The sequence below is a fragment of the Homo sapiens genome, chromosome 6 (assembly GCF_000001405.40).
Source record: "Homo sapiens chromosome 6, GRCh38.p14 Primary Assembly".
NCBI lineage: Eukaryota > Metazoa > Chordata > Mammalia > Primates > Hominidae > Homo > Homo sapiens.
Window position 1 is genome coordinate 137,351,045 of NC_000006.12, and position 15,397 is coordinate 137,366,441.

At 39.3% G+C, this 15,397-nt stretch overlaps 3 annotated features.

Annotated features, from left to right (window-relative positions):
- Positions 245-440: a silencer, noted in NCBI's record as "fragment chr6:137672426-137672621 (GRCh37/hg19 assembly coordinates)". NCBI's record gives its function as "represses an EF-1alpha promoter that drives an FKBP-Casp9 reporter gene in an ReSE screen in HepG2 liver carcinoma cells {active_cell/tissue: HepG2}" and the evidence as "EXISTENCE:reporter gene assay evidence [ECO:0000049][PMID:32094911]".
- Positions 3,015-3,159: an enhancer, noted in NCBI's record as "145 bp enhancer 183 fragment used in the MPRA reporter construct; PK_construct_811". NCBI's record gives its function as "activates an SV40 promoter by MPRA in HepG2 cells {active_cell/tissue: HepG2}" and the evidence as "EXISTENCE:reporter gene assay evidence [ECO:0000049][PMID:23512712]".
- Positions 3,081-3,092: a transcriptional cis regulatory region, noted in NCBI's record as "FOXA motif; enhancer activity is reduced when this motif is scrambled". NCBI's record gives its function as "necessary for full MPRA enhancer 183 activity {active_cell/tissue: HepG2}" and the evidence as "EXISTENCE:site-directed mutagenesis evidence [ECO:0005528][PMID:23512712]".

The window sequence follows — 15,397 nt, forward strand, 5'->3', positions numbered from 1 at the left end:
GCTATGTTGCCCAGGCTGGTCTTGAACTCCTGGCCTCAAGCAATCCTCCTGCCTCAACCTCCTAAAGCACTGGGATTACAGGTGTGAGCTACCATGTCTGGCCAAATGTCAAATATTTTTATTCATTATTACTGAACAAGCAATCTCCAGCAAATAACAACTGCAGTTCAGTGCACAGATTTGTCTTAAAAAGGAGAAAAATGGGCCAGGTGCAGTGGCTCACACCTGTAATCTCAGCACTTTGGGAGGCTGAGGCAGGTGGATCACCTGAGATCGGGAGTTCAAGACCAGCCTGACCAACACGGAGAAACTCCGTCTCTACTAAAAGTATAAAATTAGCTGGGTGTGGTGGTGCATGCCTATAATCCCAGCTACTCAGGAGGCTGAGGCAAGAGAATTGCTTGAACCTGGGAGGCAGAGGTTGCGGTGAGCTGAGATCATGCCATTGCATTCCAGCCTGGGCAACAAGAGTGAAACTCCGTCTCAAAAAAAAAAAAAAAAAAAAAAAAAAAAAAAAAAAAAAAGGAAGAAGAAAAATGTAGATTAAAAATTAAACCTGAGGCTGAATAGACCTAATTAAAGACCTATAATATTATATAGTCATAATGTTATTTACCTCAGTTCTATATACCAGTAGTCACTTTATCACTTCCATTACCTGTCCCCCCACTGGCAGGTATATGTCCATGGGCTCATGTGATCTGGTGAATTAAAAACTTGGTTGACAGACAGAGAAAAGTTGTGTTCTTGGCTAGATTTCCCACTAATTCTGTAAAAATATACATGTCACTACTGCTTACTTACATTTTTAGATAATGATATGATAACAAGGAAATATTTCAAATCTAGTGTCTCTCACTCATAGTATAATGAGAAAATTCTAGAAAGCAGATCTTTGAGGGGAAGACGGGGTGGAAAACAGACAATGAGTGGAGGCTGAGATACCCAGCTCCTCTATCGGGTATGTCTCTAGCTGCTTGCTTCTTGCTTCTCCTTTCCTTGTGTCCGCAAACACCACCCCAGAGTGACGTAACCAAGGTTGATGAGGTCAGGATGTGATGTGTTTGTGGTTTTAACTGGAGTTGTGGAATCTGAGGATGCTGCGTATGGAGATAGCCTTGCAGAGGACTTCTGCAATAGCAATAACTCCAAGGGTGGAGAAGTATTCTGTGTAGTAGATGCATGAAATCACTGTTATTGGCATTGGCCTCTCCATAGGACTTTTTGTTTTGTTTTTTGTTTTCTTGAGACAAGGTCTTACTCTGTCACCCAGGCTGGGGTGCAGTGGCATGATTGTGGCTCACTGCAACCTCTGCCTCCCAGGCTCAGGTGATCCTCCCACTTCAGCCTCCTGAGTAGCTGGGACTACAGGCATGCATCATGATACTTGACTAATGTTTTGTATTTTTTGTACAGATGGGGTTTTGCTATGTTGCCCGGGCTGGTCTCAAACTCCTGGGCTCAAGCGATCCACCTGCCTTGGCCTCTCAAAATGCTGGGATTGCAGGCATGAGCCGCCATGGCTGGTCTCCAAAAGACTTTTTAATGGACACTTTCCTATATTTTTCTCTTCACCTGCTTTTATTTCAGCTATATTGATATCTAAATGGTGATTAAAACACAATCATTTAAAACACAATGTGCTATTTCTGCCACAATGTATTTGAATTTGTATTCTCAGTATGTATTTAAAATTATTATCCTTTTATTTAACATAATTTATTCAATTAGACTTGTAAATAACATTTTATGGTGTTTTAAATGAATATATTGGTCTATTTCTGTGAGGCATTTGGAATATCTATAAAGTGTGATGTTAGACAGAAAAGCCAGCACTAAATAAACATTCACATTCACATTGCTTCTCTATCATGTCCGAGAAATTTAATCTCAAATTAGCCCCTATGGAGTAAAAGTCTGTGTAAACAGATGGACTTTGCACCTTGCCGCAAAGGTCAGCTGACGACAGCACTGTGAGTTTGGCAGCAAATCCCTTAGTCAGAGAAGGACCTTCCCATAAGAAAAACTTCGTCTTTATTTCAGTTCTCGTGACATGAATGAGACTTGGCTTCCATCACAAACTTGGCAGTCAGCGAGGCTTCCAGAGGATTCTATTAGCAATGATGATGATGATGGTTGAGATGGTGCAAAGCCCTTTATACTTTTCTGAGGCTCTTTCACATGCCTTGTGAAAAATTCTCACCATTTAACCTTAAAACACCATCAGATAAGAAATGTATATATGCAAAGTATTTTTTTTTCCAGGAAAAGAAAATAGATGTAATTCAATCTGGGTTCTTAAATTTTTCAGATCTAAATGAACTTTAAAATATGCTTGGATATATCTCTGAGGAATATAACCTTAACATTTTTCAGTGTTCAACCTAGACTAATAATAATATCAGCAACTCTGGTTTGGGGATCACAGAACTCACAAACCATTCACATCTGGCACATTTCATACCCCTTTCCTGATTCTACTGTAAGAACAGTCAACAGGAAATATGTTCACCGTAAATGACTGTGAGGCAGTGATGCATGCTGCAGCTTCATTCTTCTGGGAGAGTCTGAGTTTCCACCATAAGAAAAGTCAGAGATGTAGTTATTTCCTGTCTTCCTCTTCACTGAATCCTTGGACAGTACCCATTTTATGTTCTTAAGTGAAAATGCTTTCTTCACTGTGTGTCTGAAAGTGTACGAAGTATGTTTCTGAACAGAGTGCCTATTGGATCTTCTCTACAATCATAGTAGAGCTCAAAAGAACTTTGTTCAGGGTCCAGCTAATTTTCTTTTTCTTTTTCTTTTTTTCCTGCCCCACAGCTATTGTTGGAGTGTCATATGGGCATCTCTCTCATCTCCCAGATCGATGGCATCGTCTAGGACTTCCCACATAGACAAGATAAACGAAAGGCTTCCATGGACAGGTATGTAACTGTGGAGACAGCAGCGCTGCAGAAGAGGCCTCCTGATCAGAAAGAATGTCTGTCCCACAGTTGACTCTCTGGCTCTGCAGTCACCTTTGACATGACTTGCTGAATAGGAGTTTGTTTTCCAATTTCCATGGTTCAGCCATAGGCCATGCAAAGTAAATACTAGTAAATGAGCAACAGTAGGTTCAAAGGAACATAAGACTAGAGTCCCTCCTCCTTTTGAAGACAGTTTGGGTAGCATTCACATGTGAATCAATCTGTTTGGGGTCTTTGAAGTGACTTTGATTAAGAGTTGTGGCCCAATAGTAGTGAAACGGGCAGGGCCGTCAAAAGAATTGGCAGTTCCAATATGGACACTCAGCCTGTGCTCCACAGCCAGAGAGAGCCCCAGGTGATACCCATACACAGAGCGGTTTTAGCCTTGGAAAAACAAGTCAGAAACTCACTATGCAGGGAGGTTTGCATGGAAAGGGGTTTCGTTTGAAGTAAAGAAAATATACCATAAGACTTCATAACCCTACAGATCAGCTATGAATTAAATTAATTCACAGAATGTTAGACTTCTTCATAGTGCTCTTTAGTAAGCACAAAACACCTTTCTTTTTTTAAAAAACAAACACTTTATGTATTTTCAAAGGCACAATTTATCTGTTTATGAATAAAACAAAAACAATTAATGTCCCAAAATTTCAGGAACCACATAAAATCAAATGCAGTTCACTAAATTCTCCTTGATTATATTAAAAATGTTAAAATTAACAAATACTTAAATTTGGTAGGCTTCCCTGAATGCAAACATCTTTTGGAATAAGAAGAAAAAAAATAATTTATGGAAAGACTAGGATTTCTGCCTACCTTCACTTCAGCAGAGGAATAAAAATAATTCAAGAGCCCATTTCTTTGCTTTTTGTGTTTCAATTAACTATAAAATGTGCATCTGTCTTACTCATGTATTTTGACTTAACTTATTTTTCTCCTTACTTTATGTTCTCCTTCACTGCCTACTGCTACACATTGTGGAATTAGCTTTTCGTTCTCAAACAAACATAGATTAACTCTGGAAGCCAAACGAAAGGAAATATTTGAGATCAGAAGTATAGTTGGCATAGTGGAAAGATAGGCTTTAGGGTCAGACAAAAATTAATAAGTGACCTAGGTCAGTTGCCCCACTTTTAAACCTAGTCTCAGCATATAAAAATTGGGAACATAATACTTCTTACTGAGTTGCTATGGAGATTAGAGATTTTAAAAAGCGAATGATAAGCTATGCAGTTAGATGTTCAAAAATGGTAGTGTTAATTTTACAGCATTTCTATTTGCTGATTTTCTGATTTCATCAGCTCTACTGTCAGTTACTTTAGACTGGTGCTATTTTGTCCTGGGGCAACATTATATTTTATAGTTCCGGTTTTCATGGAATTTTTATCATAAATGCAAACGTGCATAAATGATTTTAAAATTAATTTTTTCTTAGGATGGGTAATTTGTACTATTAATGATGATGATGATTTTTTTTAGAACAGTAATTTAAAAGGGATATGAAAAGAGCAGGACTACATAATTATTGGCTTAAATTACAATGAGAACAAACATATCCCATTCTAACAAGAATGTTTAAATTGTTACCTAGTTTGATCCAGAAGGAAAAGGAAATCTCTAGCCAGTACGGGAAAATTCTCTTTTGCTGTGCTGTAGATATCTACAATTCATAATATTCTTCAGGCCTAAACTACTCCTATGGTGCCATTTCTGGCTTAGACTCTGGTGCTTTTAATGGATGTCCAAGCAGAACAAATCTGCAGTCACCAGCAAATTTTATTATCTAAACATGGAAAGATTTGTCCACATTATAAGAAAACAGATTTTTTTTTTTTTTTTAGTAATCTCTAGGAGAGTCTGAGGTCCCCAAAGGATTATTACTATAAATAACCGTATAGCTACTGAAAAAGATTTATATATGTATATGGCAAGATGCTTTCCATCTAGATGCTGAAGTTTGGTCCTTCTGAGTCCACCAAGGTGTGAGCTGGCAGAGGAGGTGGCTAAAGTCTGAGACCTAGATGAAAGGGTTAATAGCTGCACTCTTACATTGAATTTGTGAAGGGTGAGAAAACTTAGGAAACGAGATTTTTTTCTGAGAATAATATGCCAAGTGAAGCCACGATGGCACGTGTATGCCATGAGTGCTGCTAGGATCTCTTCCCTACATTTCGGCTTGTCAGTTTGTCCTAATTAATCCCAACCAATGGATACCTTCAAGCACATGAATGTGGAACATGTCAAAGACTAATTATCTTGGGCCTTAACACTGTCTTCCTGCCAAACCTAAGTCTTTCCTCTACGGAATTAAAAATACTGTCTGTAATTCACAAAACCCTATTAGAAAACTTTTGATTCATTAAAGATGGGAATAATACTTTTATTTTTAATGTCCATTATATCTACATACTTCTGAATGTTAAAAAGGGTCTAGTTTCTTCTTCTACCCTGATACTTCTTTTTTTAAAAAAAAAAAAAAAAATGTTCCAAGTTGCCATTAAAAGTTCAGAAGGAAAAGGTAAGACAATCAGAAGAAAACATCCTTTACACATTTTACTGTTGAAGTGAAGATTTCAGGAAACTCTTGATTTGGCAGAGACTAGAGTGGGGTAAGTTCATGAAAACAGAACGTTTAGAGAAAAACGCTGGCGAAGCAAGGATGAGAAGAAAGAGACCCAAAGGAGTAATTCCTTCTCAGGAAGACAAGAAAGGGGAATTAGAAGAGAGATTTTTTGGAATATGAGGCTTGCTGTCATCTCCTAAAACCAAGAAATAAAAAAAAAATTTAAAAAATGGGGAAAGTCTCTTCAGGAGGAGGAAAGAGGAGAGAGTACCCTGCCAGGTAGGGCCACCTCACAGTGGTGACTTGTTCCAGTCATTATCTATAAAAAATGAAAAAGCCATTTTGTTTTACTTTTGTTCATCTGTTTCATTAGCTCAGATAATATTTGTATTAGAGTTTTATTTGGCAATCACAGTCACTATTTATACTAATTGGCAACCATTCATACTTAATGGAAACCTAAGTAATATTTGCTGCTAAAGCAAACATTATAATAAACTAATCTCTGATTCCAATGATTCTTGATAATCCTGGCTTTGTAAGATCATGTTTGAATTTAAAACATTTGACTGTGACCTCCATCCCCTAAGTGCTGTGCTGATTATATTTGATTTCATCTTTGGTTCCAATGTGGCTTCCCTCTGATAGGGTAACAATCATCATAATACATCTTACTTCATATAATACCTCTTTATAGTTTACAAAGTGATCTCACATGTGTTATTTTTACAACGAGAGGTAATATACTGATTTTATAGATAAGTAAACCGAGGCACAAAAATAAGTGACAAAGATAATCAAAGCCAGGCTTTCTGACTCCAAATCTAATAGTTATACCACCAACTACTGTACAAATTAAATGCACTGAATGTGATACATGCCTTCCATAAATCTGCAGAAAGATGTAATGGTGACTGTCATTGGTATGGAGTGTGTAGAGCTGAATCACAGCATCCTAGATGTCTTTCTAAAATGTATCCTAAAAATGACTCCGCGGGTTGAGAAGGGCTACCACCCTCCAATGCTTGAATGTTGTGACACCACTGATTGACACAAACCCAGCTCAGGCCTCAGGAAGAGTAGGGGGAGACAAGCCAAGTCACAATCCAAATTAGCGCAGCCGCTCCTGCAGCAAGGGGAACACAATGTGGTCTTTGACTAACCTTTCAATGCCCTGTGTAGCTTGAGCCCTGAGGGCGGTGCCGAGCTGACAGCCTGGAACATTGACCAACGCGCTGCAACTGACGTGTAAATCACCCTCCGACTAGGGGTCCCGAATCTGGAAAAGGAAATGTCATCTTTGGACTTTGCCCATCATGTGTTTATGCACGAACAGTCCTTTCAAGTGCCTCTCTCCACCTTTGCAGACAAGTGGCATAATGCAGGTAGAGATCACATTTTTGGAGTTTATTCCTAAGACTGGCTGTTAGTTTTTATAAACATTCCTTTTATCTGAAATTTAACCATAATTTTTTTTTCTTAAAATGCCATATCTTCCTATATTTAGAGGGCAGGATGCCAAGTCCATATCTACTCAATATATCAAATATTTTCAGTAAGCCAGGAATTAGAGCTTCCTTTTGTAATCAACAAAACTCCTGGTAACTTCATCTTTACTAACAGCCTCATCCTTTCCTGCCATTTCTTTGTTTGTTTGTTTAATAATTTGGTAGTACTGCTGTTGCCTTGCTTCCTGGCACCACTAGCCTGTCTGGGCATGATCTTTCTTTCCCCTCTTCCAATTACTGGCCTCTGTTTGCCTCAAAGAGCCCACTTCTTAGGCACCACCTTCCCAACCCCTCTAAGCCACTGCTTACTTGGATTGTGAGCTGTCGGCCCTTGTTCCCGGCTTCTGATATCACACCTGCTGGCCAGGCTGAAATTCCTCCCTGCATCCTCTGCAGCTGCCACTCTCAGAGCCATTCCTCCTAGATCCCACATGTGCATTCCAGGGCCTCTCAGTTGGCATCTTCGCCATGCAGGCAATTTGGTCAAGTCATTGTAGCATCCTGAGACATTCACTCTATCCATATAATTTATGCATTGGCCATTTCTTGTCCTTTGAGAAATACCACTGATTGTCACTAGTGAGTGGGAGAAGTGGAACTAAAAGCCAGCCACACTGGGTAGTAACTTATAAGCAGTTCTTGAAAATATTAACAAGATGACATCAAACTTTATGTCAAAAATGAAGCATTTTGTCTCTCCTATTTTCATTCCTATTAACATGGCCAATCAAGAGTTATCAGTAACTTAAATGTGTATATGAATTTCCTGAGTATTTTTAATTCAATTCGTCTAGGGTCAGGACTGAAATTCTGCATTTCTTTTTTTTTTTTAAAAAAATAGGCCAGGCGCAGTGGTTCACGCCTGTAATCCCAGCACTTTGGGAGGCCAAGGCGGGCAGTTCACGAGGTCAGAAGATCGAGACCATCCTGGCCAACATGGTGAAACCCTGTCTCTACTAAAAATACAAAAATTAGCTGGGTGTAGCAGCGGGCACCTGTAATGCATGTTACTTTATAGGATTGGCAGAGCAAAGAGCAAGAGGGGACAGATATGGCAAAGGTAATATAATTCAGATTCTTCTGATAATTTATAAATATCTGGTAGAAATATAAGTTATACTACTGGAATTCCAATTATATTTTAGGAATTCTTATTAACTTAAAATCAATAGACTATCCAAATAAATTAAATTAAATGTGAACTTAATTTTGATTTTTGTTTTCCTTAGTTTGTAAGATATAGATAATTTCCAAAAGTGTAATTTGTGAATGAGGTACTAGAGTCTTCTCTTAAAAATAATTGTTTGCTTAACAGAATTTAGAATGGAATTGTGAATGAATAAAAACCATACTGGGACCAAAGTCATCAAGAAACTGAGTACAGCTATGGGAATTTCATTGTACCCTTGAGGGGCCTCCTTTTAAGACCACACAGGCCAAGTTAGCTAACCACCCCCTGCCAAGAGTGGAAGAGCTTTTCACTAACAACAGCAAATATTACTTAAAATATTGAGAACATTTAATATGAAAAACAATTTCCAAAGAAGCAAGAGTTCCCGTTGCTGCTGCAAAAAGCAATGCTTTTAGTTAAATGAAATAATCCTATTATATCATTTCTTAATATTGTATTTAGTTTTCAGAGGCAGATGCAGTATGCTTTGAAATTAAGATCATTGAATAGATATTTATATGGCAGGCCATTTAGCTAGGGGCCAGGAATATAGGGTGAACAATACACACATAATCCTTGCCTTCATTGAGATTTCAGACTGCATTGATTTTTTATTCCTACTAGATGTGTTTTCCATTGTGATCCCCCTCCCCAATTCAGTTTTGAGTACAAAACTGAATCTTGAACCCTGATCCAAACTTTTAAAAAATGTGCACAAATGGAGTATTTGTAAATAATGCTACCCGTTGGAAAGATCATGCATCTTACACCTTTTATCAATAAAAATATGTTTATGTCTATGTATATGTATAAGCTAATGGCTTCTGCCTTTAAACCTACTTCTAATTTTTTTTTCTTATTTGTTTTGAGATAGAGTCTCACTCTGTCACCCAGGCTGGAGTGCAGTGGCACGATCTCAGCTCACTACACCCTCCACCTTCCAGGTTCAAGCAATTCTCCTGCCTCGGCCTCTTGAGTAGCTGGGATTACAGGCACCTGCCACCAAGCCCGGCTAAATTTTGTATTTTTAGTAGAGACGGGGCTTCACCATCTTGGCTAGGCTGATCTCGAACTCCTGACCCACAGTGATCCGCCCGCCTCGGCCTCCCAAAGTGCTGGGATTACAGGCGTGAGCCACCATGCCCAGCTCCTACTTCTAAATTTTGTGCAACAAAATGCAGTGTAATTACTCACTTATAGGTCTGTCTCCTTAACGAGGCTGTTCACTCATTGATAGATCCACTACAATCCATTGAGTTGCCAAGCCAGAAACTGGGCCTTCCTGGGTCTACCTAATCATGTTGATTGAATTTCACAAACAACTTTCAAATCATCCCTTTTCAGGTCCTATAAATGTTCATCCAGGCAATTACTACAGCCTCCTCACTTGCTTCTTCTCTGGACAGTCCCCCACACTGCCCCTGATCTCTGACTTCCAATCTGACGTCTACAGTGCCCAGAGGAAGCTCTCTAAAACATCAATCGTTCTTGTCGCTCCTCTGACATCTATAGTGCCCGGAGGAAGCTCTCTAAAACATCAATCGCTCTTGTCACTCCTGGCTTCAGTGGATACTCATTACTATCAGTTTAAAATCCAAAGCTGTATACAAGTTCCATGAACACATAAATGTGAAAATGTTGCATTCTATATACCTCCTTCGATTTACACTACATTTTAGTATATTAAATGTTCTGAGATGACCTGCAGTTATATAGGCTTCTCTAGTTTTGCTTAACCCAGTATATCTCAAATGCATTTAACTATGGAATTTTTTCCTCCTAGCATTAATAATTCCTATCAGCATCCCCCAATCCAGCATCCTCTGGGACATGCTAGAGTCTACTGGGTGATCTATGGCCAGCCAGGTCTGATTACAAAACTCTTGTGTTGGAACCCATAGGTGCCTTTCTGAGGGATGCCTGGTTTATCCTCCTCAGAGGGCCTGTGTTGAGCAGCTATGTTTTATTAAACACAGCTGATTCAACTTAAGGTTTTGGACTCGTAGGAGACTTAAAAATCATTGAGTATAATTCACTGATTTTACATTTGAAGGAAATAAGAGTCAGAGAGGGAGATACTCAAGATCACACAGATAATAAACTAGACAGGGAACTGCACAAAAATAACTTAGTGCAGAAAATACTCACAGTGGCATTTTGGGGGAACAGGTGAGAAGAACATAAATAAAAAAATAAATTGGGAAAGTAAAACCAACAGCAAGCAGACTATCTAGAGCAGTGCTTTCTAATTGAAATATATTGTGAGCTACAAATGCAAGCCACATGATGTAATTATAAATTTCTAGTGGCCAAAAACAGTAAAAATAAACAGAAAATTAATTTAAATAATTTATTTAACTCAACATATTCAAATTATTATTTCAATATGTAATCAACATTAAAAACTATTAATATGATATTTTATGTTCCCTTTTGGACTAAGTAATCAAAATCTACTGTGTATTTCACACTTACAACATATATTAATTGGAACCAGCCACATTTGAAGTGCTCAGTAGCTAGTTAGTGGCTATAAGACATCAGAGATAGAACACATCCATCATTTCAGAATGTTCTATTGGGCAACATTGATTTAGAACAATGGTTCTTAACTGGGGCTGATTTCTTCATCCTAGGAAACATTTGGCAATGTCTGGGGAGATTTTTGGTTGTCACAGTTGAAGGGGAGACTGCTACTGGCATCTAGTGGGTAGAAGCCAGGGATGTGGCTAGACATCCTAAGAAGTTGTGATGCATAGGATGGCCTCCACAAGAACAAAAAATTGGCCCCAAATGTCAATAGTGCTGAGGTTAAGAAATCCTACTCTAGAGAATTGAGTGAGCTAATGAGAAATTATATTGTATTTTTTGTGAAAGCTCTTTCTCTCACTCGACAAATATCAGTGAAGTTTCAAATACTGCCAGGTACTACGTTAGCGCTTTAGAAATAAAGACGTCAGGCCGGACGCGGTGGCTCGCGCCTGTAATCCCAGCACTTTGGGAGGCTGAGGCGGGTGGATCACGAGGTCAGGAGATCGAGACCACAGTGAAACTCCGTCTCTACTAAAAATACAAAAAAAATTAGCCGGGAGCGGTGGCGGGCGCCTGTAGTCCCAGCTACTCCGGAGGCTGAGGCAGGAGAATGGCGTGAACCCAGGAGGCGTAGCTTGCTGTGAGCCGACATCGTGCCACTGCACTCCATCCTGGGTGACAGAGCGAGACTCCGTCTCAAAAAAAAAAAAAAAAAAAAGACAGGAGATAGAAATAAAGACGTCAAACATCACCAAATATGGTCACTGAATGCAATAGGTGTTATACTATATAAAGAGCTGAAACGGGGCAAAGGAAAGAGTCATCAACTTTGCTTATGTTTTTATCCACTACAGAGTTAACATAAAGTCTTATATAGAGATGAGTAAAAAGGAAAATAAAGGAAAGAAAACAAACAAACAAAATCAAGGCAAAACCAGAGGAATCGGAAGGAAAAAAGAAAAGAAAGACAATACACTAATTTGATAGACTGTGCAGGAAATCGAAAGGTAAGGCAGAGTGAGATGGAATCTAAGTAATATGTGGAGAAAACATAAGAACAGCCAGTGACACTATCCACTGCTGTCCATATTCAAATATTCAAATATTGCCCACTGTTTTCCCTCTCCTTTCTCGGTGGACATTCCTAAAGGACCGCTCAGAGGCTACCTCCAACAATGAGTGTTCTATTTCTTTTTTCCTTTGAGAGTAAAAAGAGCTGATTTTCTGGAAGTATGTCAAGTTGCTCTCCACTGGGATTGGAAGGCAGGCTGATTGGAGATACAACGGGGTCAGTGTCTGGACAGCAATCTGTCATGAAGCAAAGCCTGTCACAGACAGCCCTGGAGATGTAGACAAAGACGCCGGACTATTATTTTCCAGAGAGAGCCTTTAAAGCACCTTGGGGCCGAAGATCTGCACGGCCCTGGGCTTCCACGTTGGACCACCTGCCAGGAACTCTGCGTCAGGCTGACCTCTCCCACCCAATGTGAATAACTTCCGAGAGGTAGTCCCCCACATAAGGGCAGGGGCTGCAAGCTGGCGAAGAAAGAGAAGAGATTTATAGCTCTAGAATATCTCTCCCTTTTGAAAATGAAATGACACATTAGCTGGGGAGAGGGGCTTGGCTGAAAGGGCCTATCCCCAGGCATGACAAGTTCAACCTTCATTACCCAGTGCAACAGCTTGGGTCGGTCCAGGCCAGTCTGCCGAGGAAAGAAAGGATGGGTGTGTTTAGTAACAGACGAGAAGAGGCTCCCTCAAGACTTATTTGATCCATTTTTTAAAAGCCTTATCCCATATGATCTTTTCCCAAAAGATGGTTTTTGCCTGGGGGCCAGCACCACCACAGGCCAGAAATCATACCACCATGGAACACTCCCGTTATGGCCTACTCTGCAGTATACTAAAATTGGGAAAAGAACTCTATATACCATTTAAAAATATCCTCCCAATAAAGAGAGAACAAGTTTTTGTGTCTTTTGCGGTCTTTTTGATTCTTCCAATCTTGAAGAAATTGCTTAGAATCTTGAAAACCCTGATTATTCTTTTAACTACTAAAAAAGATCAGCTATTTAAAAAAAATAGGATAATGATGGCCTCTTTGATGTGGTTCTTGCATGAACATGGTTTACTTCCTGTCAAGTCATCTCTGCTTTTTGATGACTAGCAGGAAAGTTTCACCATCAGAAAATACAGCATTCTTGGGGGATGATGCCTTCTCTGAAATTTTGAGGGACAAAGAGGAGTTCTAGGCAGAAAGATGGAGGTTAAATTCCAGAGTTCTACCACGACGTCCGGGTCTGCGGCTGGACCAGGAAAATCCATACACAATGAAAACACAGACACGGGAGATTTGCACAGCTTTTAACTTAGGTCAAAAAAACTTGTAATTTATTAAGTAAGAGGGCACTAACACGTGCCATGTCACGCTAGATTTTCTTGAAAAATAAAAAAAAATAACAAAGTTAAACTTTCAGTCAACCTGAAAATATTAGCTTTTTATGGGGGCAGGGCGGAACGAATGGAACAGCAGCGCCTTTTTTTTTGGATTGCCCATTTTCCAAATCTTCTCAGAGAAACACTGATAGGGGAATCAGGAAGACAGGAAATAGAAATAGGAAAACAAATATTGGAAATGTACTTATGAAAGATACGGCACAAGGAGAAAAGATAGGCCTCTGTTACTGGTGACCAAGGTATACAGTAGGACATAGTGATTGATAAATGTTTTTCTGAGATTGAAATTTGCAATGTTTTAATTGAAGGAGAAAAGTGCAAATGAATGAGAAGCATATGGTATGTTGTATGCAAAGCAGACTGAAGCAATATTTTATCATTTTAACTCTGCAATGGCAAATACTTTTCAGGAAGTATACATCACATAGTTTTGGGAAAAAAGAGGTTCTAATTATAGGAAATTTCGCTCTTTAAACCGTAAAATAACATTTTGAAGAAAAAAGAAAAGAAATCCTTGCCCACAAGCATGATAAGATCCAGGATCCAGTAGACAAGATTCTTTGTGTTGGCCAAAATTTTATCCAAAAGGGTACGTAAGACGTTGCGAAAGATTTATTTATTTATTTTAGCATTATAAAATTACTTTATTATTTAGAATACTTGTCATATACAGCACATAATTTCTCAAAGGCGTTCCAAAAAAATCTGAATCCTATGTAATGTTAAAAAAGGTATGCAAATGAAATTGTTACATTCTATATTCTATTTTTGAAGTGTCACTATGCATTAAATACCTGATAAAGATTTAAATACCTTAATAAAGATCTAGATCAATGTGACAATAAAGAACTGCATTGATCAACTATGGCTGTATTTGATCCAGCATTTCCTAGATATATTTGATTATGTGAATCTGTGTTTTTTTTTCCACCCATTGTGAGAGGTTTAAGAATGAGTTTCATACCTGGATGTAATTACTCATTGCTTAGTACATGCTTTTGATTGAAATGTTTTCCTTTCTTTTACTAAATAAAAACGGCATCATAAAATTTTAAACGTTCCTTATCTGGTCTTAAATTGTTCTGACTTCTTCCTTTTTATTGACCAGGATTTTGTCAGAATAGGAAAGTCCTTTCTCCTCTGTGCATCTCCTTTCTGACCTTCAGCCAACAATCATTATGCTTTTTTAAAAAATTGATTTTTAAATGATGATGATAATAAAAACAAGGCCGAAGAAGATGATAGGATATTTAATGTCTTGTTTCCTGAGGTCGGTGGATGCTGGTTTAAATCTGAAACAAACTCTAAACGTCTATCATTCATTCCTTCAATCACAATTTCCAATGTTCTATCTGGTCTCAGAACAGGAAAACAGGTCTCAAAAAATGTCAGTTCTACTGATGTCCTGGGTTTTATATTGAGACATAAGGGGTGGGGAAATGCGGGACCCACTAATAATCCTAAATTTTTACCCACATGAGGGTCCAGGGATTGTTTACTGTACTTAGCCTCGAACCTCTTCTCTCCCATGGTCTAGGCAGGAATGCGGAGGGAGTGCTGACCCCAGCGTCACACAAAGAGCCTTGGACAATAAAGAAGGTCGCCTCTTTCTATACAGACCTGCCTTTGTGCTCCGTGTGGGGCTTGATCTTTGCGGCCCAGAGCTCAGTAGATGCCAGGGAGATAGATGTGATGTGCTCGCCTCATCCCGGGCAGCAGCTGAGCAACTTTCACACAGGCAGGCAGGTACAGCCAGCCTAGTTAACAGATGAGAACCCCTGGGGAGACCTTGACTATGGAGGATGAAAAATCAAAAGAAACCATATTGGGCACAGATACAAAGGGAGTCCCCCGCTCCTTTCTCTCCTCCCTTGTTCGCTTTCTGTCCTTCCTTAGGAAACAGCAATGAATGTGGAAAGCTGGCTTCCCCCTGGAAGCGTTGTTCCTTGGAGGGCAGGGCCTCCAGATGCTGTTCTGTGCAAATGGTTCCTCCCTTTCCCGCCTGGGGGACAACAAGCTGTTCTTTACCCCATCTGCAAGTCCATTTTCTGTCTTTTCTGGATGGGAAAGGCAAATGAAGGGATAAAAAAATGTTCCAGAGAACGATTTCCTCTGCCTCACTCTGGGTGAGCGGAAGTGCCCTGGGGTTGCTGTCCCTGCCCACATCAGGATATCACTGTCCTGGGTTTTGGAAGCA